Source organism: Homo sapiens, chromosome 7, assembly GCF_000001405.40.
Source record: "Homo sapiens chromosome 7, GRCh38.p14 Primary Assembly".
In the NCBI taxonomy this organism is placed as follows: domain Eukaryota; kingdom Metazoa; phylum Chordata; class Mammalia; order Primates; family Hominidae; genus Homo; species Homo sapiens.
This window is the reverse complement of record NC_000007.14, coordinates 131941190-131958659: the sequence shown is the minus strand read 5'-3', so window position 1 is coordinate 131958659 and position 17470 is coordinate 131941190. Positions and strand designations below refer to the sequence as shown.

The 17470-nt window shown below is 48.5% G+C and overlaps 1 long non-coding RNA gene across 1 annotated transcript in view, besides 1 other annotated feature; it reads right to left on the bottom strand.

Annotated features, from left to right (window-relative positions):
* Positions 1–9706: 9706 nt before the first annotated feature.
* LOC101928782 (uncharacterized) overlaps positions 9707–17470 on the bottom strand; it is a 38734-nt gene continuing 30970 nt past the window's right edge. Inside the window, exon 6 of the long non-coding RNA NR_110836.1 lies at positions 9707–9929. This is a non-coding gene — a long non-coding RNA (uncharacterized LOC101928782). The remainder of the gene's footprint in view (positions 9930–17470) is intronic.
* Positions 13097–13156: a silencer, noted in NCBI's record as "silent region_18667". NCBI's record gives its function as "represses an Ori minimal core promoter by ATAC-STARR-seq in GM12878 lymphoblastoid cells {active_cell/tissue: GM12878}" and the evidence as "EXISTENCE:reporter gene assay evidence [ECO:0000049][PMID:35858748]".

Here is a 17470-nt window from a genome sequence, read left to right as displayed (position 1 = left end):
GCCCTTCCCTGCTCTGACCACAGACCTTAAGTTTGGGGACCCAGGCTTATCTTGGAGCTCAGTGTTATTGTTAGTTGAATTTGTCCTGAGAGCAGTTAGCAGTTTCTCAGCTAAACAGATACTTAAATATATGGAGGTCTACGTCTAATTTACCTGATGAGAAAACTCTTCAGCGGACTATAATGCCTAAGAATCTCCAGAAAGGAAATAAAGTTTAATGTACACCTGCAGAAGTGTCAGGGACTTGATGTAAATATGTCTAATCCTCCTAAGAATCAAAGTGGTTATTGCCCCTATTTAACAGATAAGAAAACTGCAGTTTCTAGAGGTCAAGTGTCTCATTCAAGACCTCACAACAAGTCAGTGGAAGAGCTGGGGTTTCAATTTTTCTCCGACTGCAGGAAAACTCCAGTGGAGTCACTCTTCCAGCCAGGATCATTTAGGAGTAAGGGGAGGGCCGTGGACTGATGATGACCTTTTAGTGACTCTTAGGTCATATTCAGGGAGGCATCAATTCTGTCATTTCACTCTTTGCTTGTAAGACTTTAGGTAAATTACCTTTCTTCTCTGTGGACCTCAGGCTGGTCTGTTTTTTAAAGTCTTAAGTTTTTATGGCTAAGATAGACCTAGATGGGAAGGAGTTTGAGGCAAGGAGTGGCAATTTCAGATAAATGATCTCCCTATCAGCACCAAACTTATAGGATTCTCCATGGATTCCCCTAATTTGAATACAAATCACATTTCTCACTTCCAGAACCGGTTTCCCTAAAGCCATCATCCAAATCAAGCCCTGAGCCGTACTTCCTGCCTTTGCAATCCATGCCTTCATGAATCATCAGTGCTCCCTGAGTTCTTCTGCTCATTAACTGGTCAGGCCCCACTGCCTCCCCACCTCAAGGACCATCAACAACATTGGGAAGGAATCGAAAAAAAGAGCAGTGTGGCATGTTAGAGCTGGGAGGCACTCAGGGACCACCTACAGTCCCCTCCTTTTACAGGTGAGGAGACAGGCCTTGGAGGAGCTAACAGACTCCCCACAGCTCCACAAATACCAGCTGCGAAGCCGCCCACACACGTGCTCCTAGGCTCTTACTGTCTGACGGTGGATCACGACTCCATGGAAATTAGATGGATCAGCAGGCAGTGGCAATTGAATGTAGTGGGCTACAGGCGTGGGGGCTGTCAGGAAAAGCAGTGCTCAGAGTGATCGAAAAAGGCTTCCTGAAATAAATGTGTTGTGAAGCCCGCATTGAAGAATGTAAAGAACATGGAGAACTTTGAAGACTTTGAAGCAGAAATACGTCTCAGAAATTGTGGCACAGATCATTGTTTGTGGCTAGTTGTCTATGCCAATATATGATCTCCCTTTTTTCCTCAAAAATAGATTTCCTGATTTTTCCCCACTGGGTACATGAATACCCAGAGTAAGAACTATATTTCCCAGCCTCCTTTGCAGCCAAATATGGCTAAATGACTGAGTTTTGGCCAATGAGATTTAAGATGAAAGTGCTGTGTGCAACTCCCGGGAAGTTTCTGTAAAGAAATAAGCATGCCCTTCTCCCTTCCTTTCTTTTTTTCTGCTGGAATGCAGATGTGATGGCTGGACCCTGAGCAGACATCCTGGGCCATGAGGCAGCATGTTAAGGCTGGCAGAGCTGCAACATAGCATGTTCTTGTCAAAACAACACTAGTTTTGGATGGCCTACTACCAACTTCTTTACATTAGAGATATGAACTTCTGACTTGTTTAAGTCACTTATAGCTGTCTTTTTCCCCCAAACTGAACCTAATTCTAGCTAATTCAGAGGTAGAAAATAAATTCAGAACCCCTAAGAAAATCCAGAAACCTGAAAGAGAAGCTGGTCTTGCAGGGAGTTGAAGTGAATGGAGAAGAATCACTGATTTCTGGTGGATCTAGTGGATGTTTTAAGAGACTTAGTTGCATTAGTCTGTTTTCACACTGCTGATAAAGATATACCCATGACTGGTCAATTTACAAAAGAAAACGGTGTATTGGACTTACAGTTCCACATGGCTGGGGACGCCTCACAGTTATGGCAGAAGGCAAGGAAGAACAAGCCACCTCCTACGTGGATGGCAGCAGGCAAAAAGAGCCTGTGTAGAGACGCTCCCATTTTTAAACCCATCAGATCTCGTGAGACCCATTTACTATCACGAGAACAGCACTGAAAAGACCTGCCCCCATGATTCAATCGTCTCCCACCAGGTCCCTCCCACAACACGTGGGAGTTATAAGAGCTACAAGATGAGATTTGGGTGGGGAGACAAAGCCAAACCATATCACTAGTGGTTCTCAAATTTGAGTGTGCATCAGCATCACCTGGAGAGTCTTTTCAAACACAGACTGCTGGGCCCCAACCCCAGAGTTACTGATTCCATTAGCTTGGGGTGGGCCCTGAAAATGTGCATTTGTAATGAGTTAGTAGGATGCTGATGCTGCTGGTTCAGGGGACCAAACTTGGAGAACCATTGTTCTAGGCTATTCAAAGACACTTACCCCAACTCAGTTTTCTTGTGTGAGTCTCAGCTTTGTGGCTCTAACAAGGAGATATGATTTTCAGCTGCTTTCAAAGATCAGTGAATGTGGGGAGGCAGGAAGGGTCTGAACAACAGCTTGGGCAAGCTGAGCATCCAGCAAAGAGAAGATTTGTGATGCAAATGATTTACTGGTGTTCAGCTGGGAGCAGAAGGGATTTCAATATGGTGAGCCAAATCGAATTCATTACCTGACAATTAGCTCTAAATTAATGCAAGGCTGTGCCGTCTGAATGTGCTGTAAGGGAGAAGGTCCCTGACAGCTTGAGATGGGCAGGATCTGAGACATCAGTCTTGGCTGGATTCAGAGGGCTTTTTCCCAGCTTGCCTGTGTACTCTGAGCTCAGAGAATGGCCAACACTCCACTCAGATGCCCTTTCCAATTGCACTCCCTCTAGGTTTAATCCTCATTAACCCAGCCTTACCCCATCCAGGATGGACTTGGTCTCCTCTGCCCTGGCACCTCCAGGTTTGTTTCTCAAGAGACTGCCTTTGCTTGCACACGGGCTGGCTGCTAATTCTCTTACAGTGAGATGCTGTAGGATGAAACTCATTATGTTTTATAGGAGCAAACTGTTAGCATTGTGTGAGTATATCTGACCTCCTCAAGTGGAAGTTGTAAATCCCCGGAGGATAGAAATTATTTTCCTTCTTTGTTTAGTTAATTATCTCCCCTACTTTTTCCCTCCCCTCCCTTTCCCCTCCTTTCCTCTATCACTTTCCCACAGGGCTCCTGATGCAGTGCACACAGGAGTATGACTGTAATGAATGATGACCTGCAGCTTGAGCATCCTTGGGACTTCATTTATTTATTCATTAAACATTATGTGCCAGGATACAGGTCATGATGGCCTCTGACCACATAACATTCATAGGCTAGTCTAAGAGACAGGCAACTGAGGAGTTAAAAATCAGACCCTAGGGTCCTAGGGCATGTATATGGAGTAGGGGCACAGGGCACTTTGCAGAGAATCCTCTAAGCATTCTAGCTGGCCATGTGGACCCTCTTTCTCCTTCCCAGGACAAGCCTCAGCCCTACCAACTGCCTACAGCTCCCACCCTCTGCTGAGGGTGCAAAGATGTCGCTGTCGGGTTGGCTCTGAAACATCAAGATAAGGAAGGCAAAGAAATGATGGGGAACAGGAGGACCACAGGGGCTAGATCTGCCCCTTCTCTCTCAAACATCCCACAGCCCAAATACCTGTCAAAGCCCCTTCCAGTGGGAATCTTTCCTTCCCCAATACCACCTTCTAGCAAGTTCAATAACCTCATATTTACATCCTTGATAAAACTCTTTTAAAGTCTGTTGACAGTTTCCTTTGGTTCAGACAAATGGCCCCCAGTTTTTTCTCTTCTCATTTTACAGTGCTGAACTGTCACTCAGAGGGAAGATAGCCAAGTCCATTTCCACCTATTGGTCAGATTCTCTCTCAAAAATAATTAACTTAGATCATTTGTGGAATGAATCTGCATTTTAAAAAATTAAGAGATACCAAATGACATTTGCATAGTGCTTTACAAAATGCTGTAACTTTTATATTTTATTTGGTTTCCCTGATCATTCTTGGAATTCCCCCCAGTTCTACAGAAGAACAGTAAATGTCATGAATCAAGACCTGAGCTCTGGCCTTTGGCTCCCCAGTCCAGTGCTCTTCCCAGCAGACCCTCCCTCTTTACTACGTGCAGCAGATAATGTCCACATGACACAGGCTCAAAAAATGTATGTGTGTGCATGTGTGTTTGCATGTCAGCCTCAACCTTCCCCCCACCTCCACCACCAATGTCATCACACCTGCCATTCCTGGGTCAGAGTTGCTAAGGAGAATAAAAATGTTATGCTCAGGGGTTTGTCTGTATCAGCCAGGGTTCCCCAGAGAAACAGAACCAGCAGGAGTGTGTGTGTGTGTGTGTGTGTGTGTGTGTGTGTGTGTGTAAAAATATTTACTTTTCATTTGTTTTGAGAAATTGGTCTATGTGATTTTAGAGTTGGCAAGTATGAAATCTGCAGGGCAGGCTGGAAACTCAGGCAGGAATTCATGCTGCAGTCTTGAGGGAGAATTTCTTCTTTCCTGGAAAAACTTTAGTTTTTGCTCTTAAAGCCTTCAATCAATTGGATCAGGCCCCGCCACATGATAGAGGGCAATCTCCATCAGTTGAAGTGAGCTGACAGTAGATGCTAACCCCATCTATGAAACACCATGGTTAGTGTCTAACATTGCAGCCTTACCAAGCTGACACATACAAATGACCATCCCATCGTGTCCAGTTGCTGGCTAGAAGGCATGATGCAGAAGAGTTTGGGGGAGACAGAAGTATCCCTTCCAACCAGAAACCCAGAGATAGGATGCCAGGAAAGGGAGCATTCCCCACATGAGACTCTGGGGAAGGGTGACTACTTCGGTCCCATCCTGCCAGGAATTTGAGAGGTGCAATCCCACCAGAGAGGGAGTCTGAATAAAACTCCTCTCCCCAGAGCACAGGCCCTGCACCCTCCCACGGCTGCTTCTGTGGCGTGGGTTCCGACCAGCTCTGCTCAAAGACTCCTGTGCTAGGAAGAAGGTGGGGTCATATCATGGCATCAAGATTCAAACACTATCAGGAGCCAGGGATGGGATACGTGAAGGGCTGGGAGCTGTGGCCAGAGGCAAACTGGACAGGGACACTTTGTCCACAAGCACCTGACAGTCATCTTTGAAATCACAGCAGGAACAATGTGCCTGAGAGAGCTGGGGGTCACCAGTCTGCCACCTTACTCGGAGGTAATGAAGGCCACAGCCTGGGAGCCACAAGTGCTGAGTCACAGAGTCTGTGGAGAGATTCTGCAGATACAAAGAAAGTGGGAAAAATACCTGATATCAGCTAGGCTCAAATACCCCAACACCTGCTCCCCATCTGCAGCCCCTCTCAAATCCTGGAGCACCGATGAGCTCAGTCCTCACACTAATCCTCACCCTCCTGAAAATAGTCACCCCAGGATTGATTTTTCCTGATTAAACTATTTCCTACATTTGATAAATAACACCTGCCCTATTCTATCGCTTCCCTCTGACTCTGTTTATTAAACAACGCTCGAGATTTTTCTTCTTGCATGATAGGTACTAAAGGCACAAAATTCAAACTCATTATGTCGAGGGGAGGGCTCCAGCCATCCGTGGTTTTGCACCAGGCAGTGAGTGACGTTTTATTTGCCAAGGACTGAGCGAGGCCAGGAACTGAGGCAGCACAGCTTTAATGGAAAGAGGTTTGATTCTGGAGTCAGACCTGGGAGTCATCCTGGTGCAACCTCAGCCCCTGCGTGACCTTTGACAACGACTTAACCTTCATAAGCCTCAGCATGAAAATCATCTGAAAACAGGGTTTTCCCATCTGTAAAATGAGAATTGTTGAGGCATCCATAGTATGGAAAAGCATCTTTGAACGTGTAAAGTGCACATGAACACAGGAGTTAACCCACTTTCCAACCTGTTTATAAATCCCTCCTGAGCCCTGTCACCCACACCGCCTCAGGCAGTCCCTGCTTTGGGGCTAGCGTGGGTTGCTGTTGCTGTGTCACACACCACCACAAATGCATCAGCTTTTTTTTTCTTTTGGAGGTGGAGTCTCGGCTCTGTCGCCCAGGCTGGAGTGAAGTGTCATGATCTTGGCTCACCGCAACCTCCACCTCCTGTGTTCAAGCGATTCTCCTGCCTTGGCCTCCCAAGTAGCTGCGATTGCAGGTGCCTGCCACCTGGTTGATTTTTGTGTTTTTAGTAGAGATGGGGTTTCTCTATGTTGGTCAGGTGGTCTCGAAGTCCTGACCTCAGGTGATTTGCCCTCCTCGACCTCCCAAAGTGCTGGGATTACAGGCATGAGCCACCTTGCCTGGCCACGCATCAGCGTTTTAAACAACGCTTTTTTATGCTCAAGGATTCTGCTGGTCAAGAATTCAAACAAGGTGTATTAGTCTGTTTTCACACTGCTATAAAAAATATCCGAGACTGGGTAATCTATGAAGGAAAGAAGTTTAATCAACTCACAGTCCTGTATGGCTGGGAAGGCCTCAGTAAACTTACAATCACGGCAGAAGGTGAAGGAAAAGCAAGTACTTTCTTCACAAGGCAGCAAGAAAAGGAGAGAGTGGAGGAACAGCCTAACACTTATAAAACCATCAGATCTCGTGAGAACTCACTCACTATCATGAGAACAGCATGGGAGAAACCACCCCCATGATCCAATCACCTCCCACCAGGTCCCTCGTTTAACATGTGGGGATTACAATTAGAGATGCGATTTGAGTGGGGACACAGAGCCAAACCATATCACAGGACAAGGCAAGAATTTCTTCTCTCTGCTCCACAATGTCTGAGGGCTCAGCTGGAAAGAGTCAAAGGCTGAGATGACTCAGTGACTACGTACTGGAATCATCTAAAAACCTGTTCACTGACACACCTGGCTGTTGGCTGGGGCATCACCTGGGCCTGTTGGCCACAACACCTCCACATGGCCTCCCCATGTGACTGCTTGGGCTTCCTCACAACATGGTGGCTGGATTCCAAGAACAAGTGTCCCAACAGAGCCAAGTGGAAAATGTATTGCCATTTATTTATTTATTTATTTATTTATTTATTTATTGAGACAGAGTTTTGCTCTTGTTGCCCAGGCCGGAGTGCAATGGCGTGATCTCAGCTCACAGCAACTTCCGCCTCCCAGGTTCAAGTGATTCTCCTGTCTCAGTCTCCTGAGTGGCTGGGATTACAGGCATGTGCCACCATGCCCAGCTAATTCTGTATTTTTAGTAGAGACGGGGTTTCTCCAGGTTGGTCAGGCTGGTCTTGAACTCCCAACCTCAGGTGATCCACCCGCCTCAGCCTCCCGAAGCGTTGGGATTACAGGTGTGAGCCATCATGCTCGGCCTAATGTATTGCCTTTTATGACCTAGCCTCTGAAGTCCCATAGCATCACTTCAACTATAACTGCACATCCACTCAGATTCATGGGGAAGAAATACAGGTCCTACCTCTAGATGGAAAGTCCCACTGTAAGAATAACATGTGGGATGGAAGATATTGTTGCAGTCATTTTTGGAAAATTCAATCTGCCATCAGGTCTGAGTCATTAGATGAATGAACAAGCTGGCAAGTTAGAATTTTGAACCAGGAATGGAACTTGGCAGATGTTATCCCCCTCTATTCCTGGTCATCTCTGGCTCCAGATTCCCACTGAGATCAGCACAAGTTGTACCCATATCAGGAAATCTAACCAAGGCAATGTTCAAACCACGAAGTCTTCTAAGGAAAGAGAGACAGACTGCCCTTTCCTCCCACTCCTGATCTCCCTGCCTCCTTGGAGACCTAAGCTTGTCTGGGTATTTATGTCTCCCTATTTTCCAGAATGATTCCCGCCTCCTATTCTATGGGGACTGTTCCCCAGGGTCTGCAGCTTTGAGGTGTTTGTAGCACACCCTGCTACTTGGGAACTTACTGCAAATGCAGAATCTCCACCCCACCCTAGACCTGCAGAACTTGCATTTGAACAAGATCCCAAAGTACTTCTTATGCTTATTAAAGTTGCTGCAGCTCCAGAATAGGGGAAAGAACTTGATTTGAAAGCTGTCACTGGGCTTCAATTCTAATTCTAGCTTTGCCCACTTAATAGCTGGACAAAACCACGCAAGTTATTTAACCTCTCTGGGCCTCGGTTTCCATAATATGTAAATTAGGTATGATGATAGCTGTCTCAGTGTATGTGTATGTGTGTTTGAGAGAGAGACAGACAGAAATAGAGAGAGACAGAGAGAGAGAGAGTGATTGTTCCTCCCAAGGCAGAGAACCAATACATTTCAACTCTAAAGGCCAAGCACCACTGTCAGCCCCACCTTGAAGGGTGGAGACCTCTCCCACAGCCTCTTCCTGCTGTGGGGTCCATCAGGAGGCTGCGGCGGTCGGTGAAAATGGTGAGCAGCTAGCGCTGCAGTGAGACAGCAAGGCAAACCTTTCCTCTGGAGCGGCTGAAGCGGGAGGCTCAGGGAGTCCTCCTCCCAGGAGACAGCTGTCTCTCTGAAAGGCAAGGGGGTCTTAGGAAGCCTGCTCTCCTTTGGAGATGTTATTTATTTTTTCTAATAGAGACTGTTTATCACCCACTTACAGGAGTTTTGACTGGGGCTTTTTGTCACCCCTTAGACTCTGGAAATTAGGTCAATCCCCTCCAGAATTTACTTGAGCTGGGAAACTTTACTTGCAGTGGCAGCAAAGGGGCCCCGCCAGCGGGCTTAGGGAGGATTCACAGAACGACGGTCCTTGTGCCCAGGGCAGTCACAGTGGTCACCTCAGCTCTCCCCGCCATGACAACAGCCACTGATGCCAAGGCCCGCCAGGCTCCAGGTGTCTCTGTGGGGATGGGGGAGGGCTTTAAGTAAAAATCATACACCAGTATCATCCTGGAAAGCAGGAGGAGGACCGGGAGAAATGTTAACAGGATCGTTCAATATTCAGTCCCTCTAAGCCTTTATTCAAAATGTTCTCAAGAATGATCTCATCCTTCCCTGATGATGCAAGCTGTGAAGTAAGCTTGGGTCCTACTATATCAATACCAATAGCTGGAAGTCCTTCCTTATGTCTAACTTAAAGCCTTACTGCTCTAAGTATCTGCAACTAGCTTCTCCCAGCACCTTGAACATAATAAGTTTTCTGTAAATACATGGTGCATTGTTGCTCTGGAAGATTGTCCCCCGAGGAAGGCAGAGAAAAATCTCTTCACAGCTTTTCTGCTTTCCTGGCAGGTCTGGTTTCCTTAAGGCTAGACAGCCCAGGTGTGCTAAGGGTCTTACTAGGCCCACTGGCCTCCTCCCCACAAGAGTCCAGACAGACAATCAATGCTGAAATTTTCCTTCACAATTGGGCAAAAGCTGTGGGGACATTTGATTTTCTTTTCCCAAAGGAAACTGACATTGAGGTGCCTCGTTGAAGTAGAAATAAAAACTAGGGAAATACTGCATCACAGAGATCAGGGATTCTCTAGCAGGAAATTTGTTTCAGAAAAAGATCCGGCTGCTGATCCTCAGGGTGACCAAGCCTCGGTTTGTCTTCTGTACTGTGGCCTTTCTGCGAACGTATGTCTGTTTGTTTAGTTGCCCTGTAAAGTTCAGGCAAATCTAGGTAATTGTATAGATACTGTTCTCCAGTTATTTATTAACACATTTCAAAACATGTCTGCAGAATGTGCTGGTGCTATAGCAGGCATCTCCTCAGAGCCTAGCATCTGCAGGCAGGATTGAGTGTCCTGGGATGGGTCATCTCAGGGTCCTTGGAGCAGGGACACAGAGGTCCTCACCCAGCGTCTTCTGAATCACTGTGAGGCTGTGGGCCAAGTCTCTTTCCTAGCACAGCCACACCCTGCTGGAAATGAGAGGCAGCAGAGGAAGCTGATTAAGTGAAGTTAGGGAGCTTGGGAGCTTAGGAGCAAGGAGGAGGGGCCGACAGCAGATCAAACCTTGAAGGCAGATGCCCCAGGGAGGGAGCGGGGAAAGAGCAGGCCTCCTCCACACCACCTGGCTAATCCAGAGTCACCCAATCTGGGTAATATAGATGAGTTCTGATGATGAGATCCCCACATAACCAGATGGAGAAGCCCAGCCCCACAGCCTGGGGTTGCAACTTGCATGGCTACAAAGGCAAAAGGTTTCCCTGAAGATTTTCTCTCAGCCCGTACAGATCTGGGTCTGGCTTCAGAGTTGAAGGCAAAGATTGAGGGGTCTCTAATAGTGGGGTCCTGAGGTCCCCTGTCTCTGTGGGAAAAACATGGAGGACTTGCTAAACTTTGATCCCAGACTGTGGACTGATTATGGGCTACAATGGGAAAGGACCGAATTAACCAGCCGAAGGGGTCAGTATCTGACCTGTGGCTGACAAGGTCCCCAGATGCCTCACCAGGAACAGCCAGCCTTCACCTTCCTGGAAATTCTCCCATGCTTTCTAATCACAACTTAGCTGCTCAGTGTCTCAGTTCCTCCCGGGAGTATTATCTGTCATTTCAGCATGCCAGCACCCTGTCAAACCCATCTATTCATACAAATGTGCTAATAGGAGAGCCTTCTCTTTCTTCCAGAAGCTTCTGTCATGGGCAGAGGAGGACAGAAAAAAAGGACAGGAGGGGAAAATGGGAGAGGAGCATCCTGCAGCATTAGGGACCCACATTACAGTGATTGAGAGAACAGAGGGAATCATGGCAGACCCATGGGGGGTGGTGTTTACGACAGATGGGGTCTTGCAAGGGAACACTCTGCTCATCAATGCAGAGGCAGATAGCTAACATATCTGCAAGAGGACCAGCTCCTGGGAGCCATCCTGTGAGGTACTATGAAATCCCTGAATGTCATTTCACATGTCTGTATATTTGAGTCTGCATGTGGGGTGATGGAGGTGGAAAAAAGTTTACACTACCCACCACAAAGAATTCCTATCCAAGATGTGCCCATGGAAGTCACCAGAGACTCTCACCATCCCTCCTGGCCTGCCCCACCCTCTCCCTCCTGGGTGATTACCCCACTCTCCCTTCTCCCATTCCCCAGTCAAAATTCCAAGATCTAGGGCCTCCAACTCCATTTCCACCCATAGCTCTCCTTAGGGACTACCTTCCAGGGGCCCTGTTAGAGTGAGCTCATTTAAACAGTAAATGGAGTCACTCAGCAGCAGCTGGCAAGTGTTTTCAATGAGTTGGAAAATCAGGTTGAAGGTATCGTGAAATATGGTGCTTACAGAGAGGCCCAGACGCATGGGCTAAGTACTTTGTGATTAGGCCTGCCTTACCCATTCCTCCCTCCAGCCCCATCTCTTCACCCTCCTTCTTTCCTTCTCCAGAGTTTTTAAAGTTAAAATGTGCCTGCGTATTTTATTAATATCTTGTAAGAGAAGCTTCTTCAAGCAAACGGTTCTTTGCCTTAGGGGTCAATGTGATCTTTTTTGTACATGTGTATAGCAGGATATGTTGGGCTTGTAAATGTGTGTGAGTTTCTGAGTGTAGGTGCCGAATAAATGTTTATTGATGATGCCTACCTATGCAATCTGCATGGTGCTTGTATTTCTATTGCTTGTGCATTTGCACATCATAAACACAAACACACACACACACACACACACACACACACACACACACACAGGCTTGCTTCCAGAGCCATACATGCTCTATTTTCAGTTTCTGAGTGTCCTAAGAGGTTATATCCTGTCTAGATGGACGGACCGAGAGTACACTTGGATTTCTACCAAGATATATTCTCCTAATTCACCAGAACCCCCCGCTTCCTGCCCATCCCCTACACAGAGCATCTCACGCCATGCAGTGCAGGGAAGCACATTCCTCAAAGCTCAGCTGCCCACCTCTGAGCAGGTGCAAATCCACCCACTGCATCCTCCCATCCACCTTTCTCCCCTCTGACTTCTGCTCTCCTCCTAAATGGTCTCTTTTCCCCCTGCCTCCTCCTCCTCCGTTTCCCTTCTCCAGAGAGGCAGAGGTTAGGTGTGCTTGACCATGATTCACCAAGTGCAGACATCAAAACAGCAAAGGGATGTGGACACCATCTCCAGCCTCTCGTTTCATGGACTGGCTAAGGTTCAGGGATGCTGAAGGATTTCTCCCATGTGCCCAAGGTAGTTCACAGAAGAGCCTGCTCCAGAGCGTGTGTTTTCCCAGCCTTTCCCACAACCTGGCCCCCGGTGGAGGAAGCGGTTCCCCTCCACCGACCCCTGCCTCCCACATCAGAGGTACTGCACCCAATGAGTGCGGCCAACCAAGACCACCAGGGGATGAAATGAGTCACATCGACTGTCTCTAGGATGGAAACTTGGTAGGGATTCTGTTTCCTGTGAGCAGGAAGAACGCGAGATGAGACACAGGAGGACCGATCCTGCTGCTCTCAGGCCTCTCATATGACTTCACAGAGGACAACTTTGGCCCCTCCCCGCCCAGCTCTGGCAGGTGCATGTCAGTGGACTCTGTCCAACAGGCAGAGTCCACGGAAAGGAAGGACAAGATGATGTAAGCATGAGATCCCAGATGCTGGCCCTGGGAGGGGTTTTAGGGACCATCTCCTCATTCAGTGTCTTTGCATTACACAGAAACTGGGCACATAGAGGCTCCAGGACTGGCCAAGGCCACCGGGACCGGTCCCAGGCTTTGCACTCCCAGGGTGCTGTCCCATTTACAAACCCTCGCCGTCCATTCCTTTTTGGAGTGAGTCCTGGTGGCACTCCTATAGGAACAGCGTGTGGGGAGGCCTAGGTGTGGCCTGGCCTCAGATGAGGACACCATCCAAGTGACCCGGCCGCTGCATCCCTGCTCTTTGTGCCACACCCCAAGTCCCTTTGCTTCCCGGAGATGGAGCAGATGACAGAGGCGCACGGAGGAAGCGGGCCTGGGGACACACGGTGTGCCGAGCTCTTTCGTCCACCTGGGTCGACCTCCACAAATCTACTGCTCCGGGGTTCCCGCGCGGGTCCCCAGGCAGCCAGGAGGTGACGCGGTCGGCGAGGAAGGGGCTGCGGCCGCGCGGTTCCTTCTCCAATGACAGGCGCGCCCTCTGCTGCTAGAACTAGGAAGCGCGCGCCTGGCCCGGCTCAGAGCCCGAGCTTGGAACCCGCAGCCGCCCGCACCCTCCAGAGAAACCGGCTTAGAAAAGCCTGCCGCCGCGAAAGCAACCAGAGGCCCTCCCGCTTCCGGGGTGCTCTGAGGACTCAGACAGGAGGGAATAGAACCTGGGAGGAGAAGGAAGAGGAGCTACCTGAACTCTGTGAGGAAAGGGAGGGGATCCTTGCATTTGGGATTTAGGACAAAATCCTTGCATTTGGGATTTAGGCTCCTTCCCCATCCTTTGTCCTCTCCACGAAGCTCCTCTCACCCCAACCACCAAACTGTGCCCATGAAGTGAATGGCCCAATAAGGAGCCTGTGGGAGCCACAGTGTCTGGAGATTTTACTCGGCCATCTCTTGAGCCCTGGGAAAAGTTTTAAAATGTTCACTTTGGCAACTTCGAGCCTGGTTCAAAGCATGGTGTCTCCGCAGGAAGAGTACAGGACTGGGAATGAGGCCTCCTGGAATCTGGTTCCATTTCAACCACTCTTTTCCCCTGTGCTAAGTCCCGTGTCCTCTCTGTGGCTCAGTTTCCTGACCTATTTATTACATGGGCCTCTCATGTCCCGGAAAATTCACTGAGGTACCAGGTATGCTACAGCACTAGCAAGCCGTCGTGCCACTGCCCTGCTCTGGCTGGGTTGTCTTTTCCTGGAAATGGGCAGTGGTAAGAGGAGGGTGGAGACAGAGCCTCCGGCCATCTCCCCTGCTCCTCGCCCCTGCTGGGACTCCCACTGCGCAGTGTTTCCCTCTTACCTCTGGACAATCCCACAGACTCCTTCCTCCAGGCAAGGCATCCCCAAGGAAGTGCAAATAAAAATGCTGTTGGTGGTGGAGGCAACATATTCAGTGAAAATCCACCAAGGTTACTGGCTGAGGCTGGAGCAGGATGGGGGTGAGGGGAATACTGCTCGAGGAAGGCAGGAGGGACCAGGGAAGAGGTCCTTGGACAGCACCAGCCGGAGGGTCCTCGCATGGGGCCTTGGAGGCGGCAGGGAAAGGAAGCTTCTCTCTGATTTTAGAATGTCCGTGGAGACAGCCTTGAGTTGCTTTCCATGTCAGATCACAAGCATAGGCTTTGGGAAGAACTGGTGAACAACTATAAGGTGGCATTCTCCTTGTGCCTAGGACAGCTACTGACCCCCTCAGCCTCACTGACCTCATCCAGAAATTGCAGATGTAAAACCTACCCCAATGCAAGTAAATTCCTTCACCCAGTAAGCAGCATAGTAGTGCACAAAATTATTGTTGTTATTATTATCATGATCATCGTGGTCCTATCAGGCCTAACCCTCTCATTTTCTGCATGATGTTCCCTTACTTGAATTTCTGTTTCCTCATCAACAAAAGTCATGTTTGCCCCTCCTTAGTTCTGGGGGTTGTGGTGGGGAGGAGGAAAAAGGCATCCCAGGTGCATCAGCAGAGGAATGTCCCTGAAGGACCCGAAATGCTATTATTGAAGGCTAAATGTTCCGTGGCTAAAAGCTGCTATAGCGATCTTTGCATCCACTTGATTTGAATGGGCACATTACTGTAATGTCCCAGTGCTGCAGTCAACACGGGGAAGGTTGAGCTATTTGTAACAAGATGCATGAGCAGCATAAAGATCAAATGGTGGAAGAGAGCACGTCTGGCTCACTTGAGAAAACAGGGCTAGTGGCTTTGAATATGGCTGGAATCCATCCATGGCCGCCTGCCTCAGAAACCGCTGCCTGGGGCTTGCTGTAGGGAGGACTGGAAAGACAGGAGCAGGTGGAGAAAGAAGGCAAATATGAGGAGGAGAGAGACATAGACAAACCACTGGACACCGTGAGAGAGAATCCAGTCACAATTCCAGCTCCAGGGGCATTATGGATGCTGAGAGTCCCGTCCTCCACCTGCAGCTCTGAGAATACCACCTACCATCCAGCAAGCTTTCTCCAAACCCTCATATCTGGACTGAGCTCCTCATTCTTTGGTGTCAAGCTGTTCAGGTGAGCAGCTCTAGCCTATTTCTCCCCCTGTTCTCCTGTCCACAGGGACAGAGCATGCTACAGCCGCAGGTCTCCAAGGCTCCATTTGGAACAGAGGTGGGGGCGCGATTGATGCCCTGGAAGGACTAGGGAGGTGGCAGGAGAAGGCTGGACAAAAACACTTGCAGACCCTGATCAATACACCCTCCAGGCCAGCGCTGCCTTTTAAGTCATCTCCATTGCCCCCCATCAGCTCCTCCCCAGAACTTCATTTGAAACTAATATTGGGAAGGGCCTGGGAGGAATGTCATTTGGCTGAAATCAAACCCCCCATGGGATGACCAAACACTCATCCTCCTTTTTCTTTTCCTTCCAAACCCTGGGAAAAGCTCTGGGTCTTGGTTTTGTTATCTGCAGATTAAGAGTAGGAGTCCAGGCTCTCTAAGGACCCTACTCACTTCTACCTGGCAACCTGCATAACTCACGCCCTCTCCTGACATCACATGTGGCACGGACTCACACTCACGCTCAGCGTTCACTCCTATTTCTCAGCCTCATCTCCACACGTGGTGTCCCTTTGCCCTCCCCACTAGCAAGGCCGGTGCCTTTCAGCACTGACATTCTGATGGCTGCTTCCGCCCTCCCCACCCTCCCTCTTATCACAGGAGGCGTTCCTCCCAGCTCCCCCTCACCGCATTGGCTGCCTCATGCCACTCTTTTTTATTATTATGGCAAAATATTCATAACTTATTTTTTATCATTTTAACCATTTGTCAGCATACTATTTGGTGACATTAAGTGCATTCACAATATTGCGTAACCATCACCACTGTCTCATCATCCCCAGTGCAAACTCTGTACCCATCCCCAGATAACCTCTAATCTACTTTGTCTCTATGAATTTCACTAATTTAGGTTTCTCATATAAATTGAATATGCAGTATTTGTCCTTCTGTGTCTGGTGTATTTTGCCTAGTACAATGTTTTCAAAAAGTCTGTCCATGCTGTAGCATATATAAAAATTCCCTTTCTTTTGATGACTAAGTAATATTTCATTGTATGGATATACCACAGTTTACTTATCCATTCATCCATCAATGGATACATGGGTTGCTTCTACCTTTTTGCTATTGTGAATAATGCTGCTGTGAACATTGATGTGCAAACATCCCTGCCTTCAATTTTTTTTCAGGATCTACCTAGCAGTAGGATTGCCAGATCCTACGGTAATTTTGTGTTTATATATTTGAAGAGCTGCCAAACTATTCGCAGAGGTTGCACCATTTTGTATTCCCACCAGCATTGTATGGCGGTTCCAATTTCTCCACATCTTCACTAACACTTGTTATCTTCTGTTTCTTGATTATAGCCCCCCTAGTAAGTGTAAAATGGCTTCATTTCTTCTTAACTTCCCTCAGCACTCAAGATCTTTGTACTTGTGTCTGTCAGCCCTAATCTTACAGCACACTAGGCACAAATAACCCAGTTGAAGGCTGAAGGCTCCTTAAGGCCAGTTTCTACTGTCCACAGGCCACCAGGCAGGGCCCAAGGGCGGCGTGTCAGTGGGAATAGCCAGTGTCTCCATGAGCCAGTTTTGGTCACCGTTGTCTGCCTTAGACTGCAAGGTCCTGAGCCCAGCTGTCAGTCCATCTCCTTGGCAGAACCTGGAATGCCCAATAACTTAAGAGTGGTGTTTGAGGAATAGGGAGAAAATTAAATGTAAGACGATTTTTTTTAAGTTGGAGGACACTGAGACTAAAAGGACAGGACCCAAAGAGTGAAATGGGAGAGGAGAAAGATTGAAGGAGAGAACTAATCCCAGAATCCAATCTCCAGTGAGGCAGATTCTGCAAGCTCCTTGGCAGTGCCTGATTCTGATGCCTCATGGATCTGATCTGGGAAATTGAAGAGATGGTGTAGCCCAACTCCACACCTCCTTCACTACAAATCAGCTGCAGGGGGCTGAGGGGCACAGCTTCCCCTGGGGCTCTGCTGGGCTCCGAGGAGCCTGGGTGCCCCCAAGAATTGCAGCTGGGGCCCCAGCAGGCTGTCCAGCCATTGTCAAGACAGCTGTAGCTCTGGGCATTGCCAAGGGAGCTTCTCATTGCCAGGCCCTGGAGGGCTGCAGGCTGCCCCAGGAGAGGGGCCCTTGGGGACTTGGCCACAATGGAACCTGTGTGGTCCTGTTAACCAGTCAGTGGCTTTGTCCTTGCTTCTTCATGTCCAGACAGCCATGGGAAAAGCAAAAGAGATGCCCAGAAGCTCACTAACAAGGTGGGATAAGGGAGATGAATGGAGACAGCCAGAAAGTCCGGAGAGAAGATTGAGAGTAAGCACACACTGGGGCAAAGAGGGAATGGAGA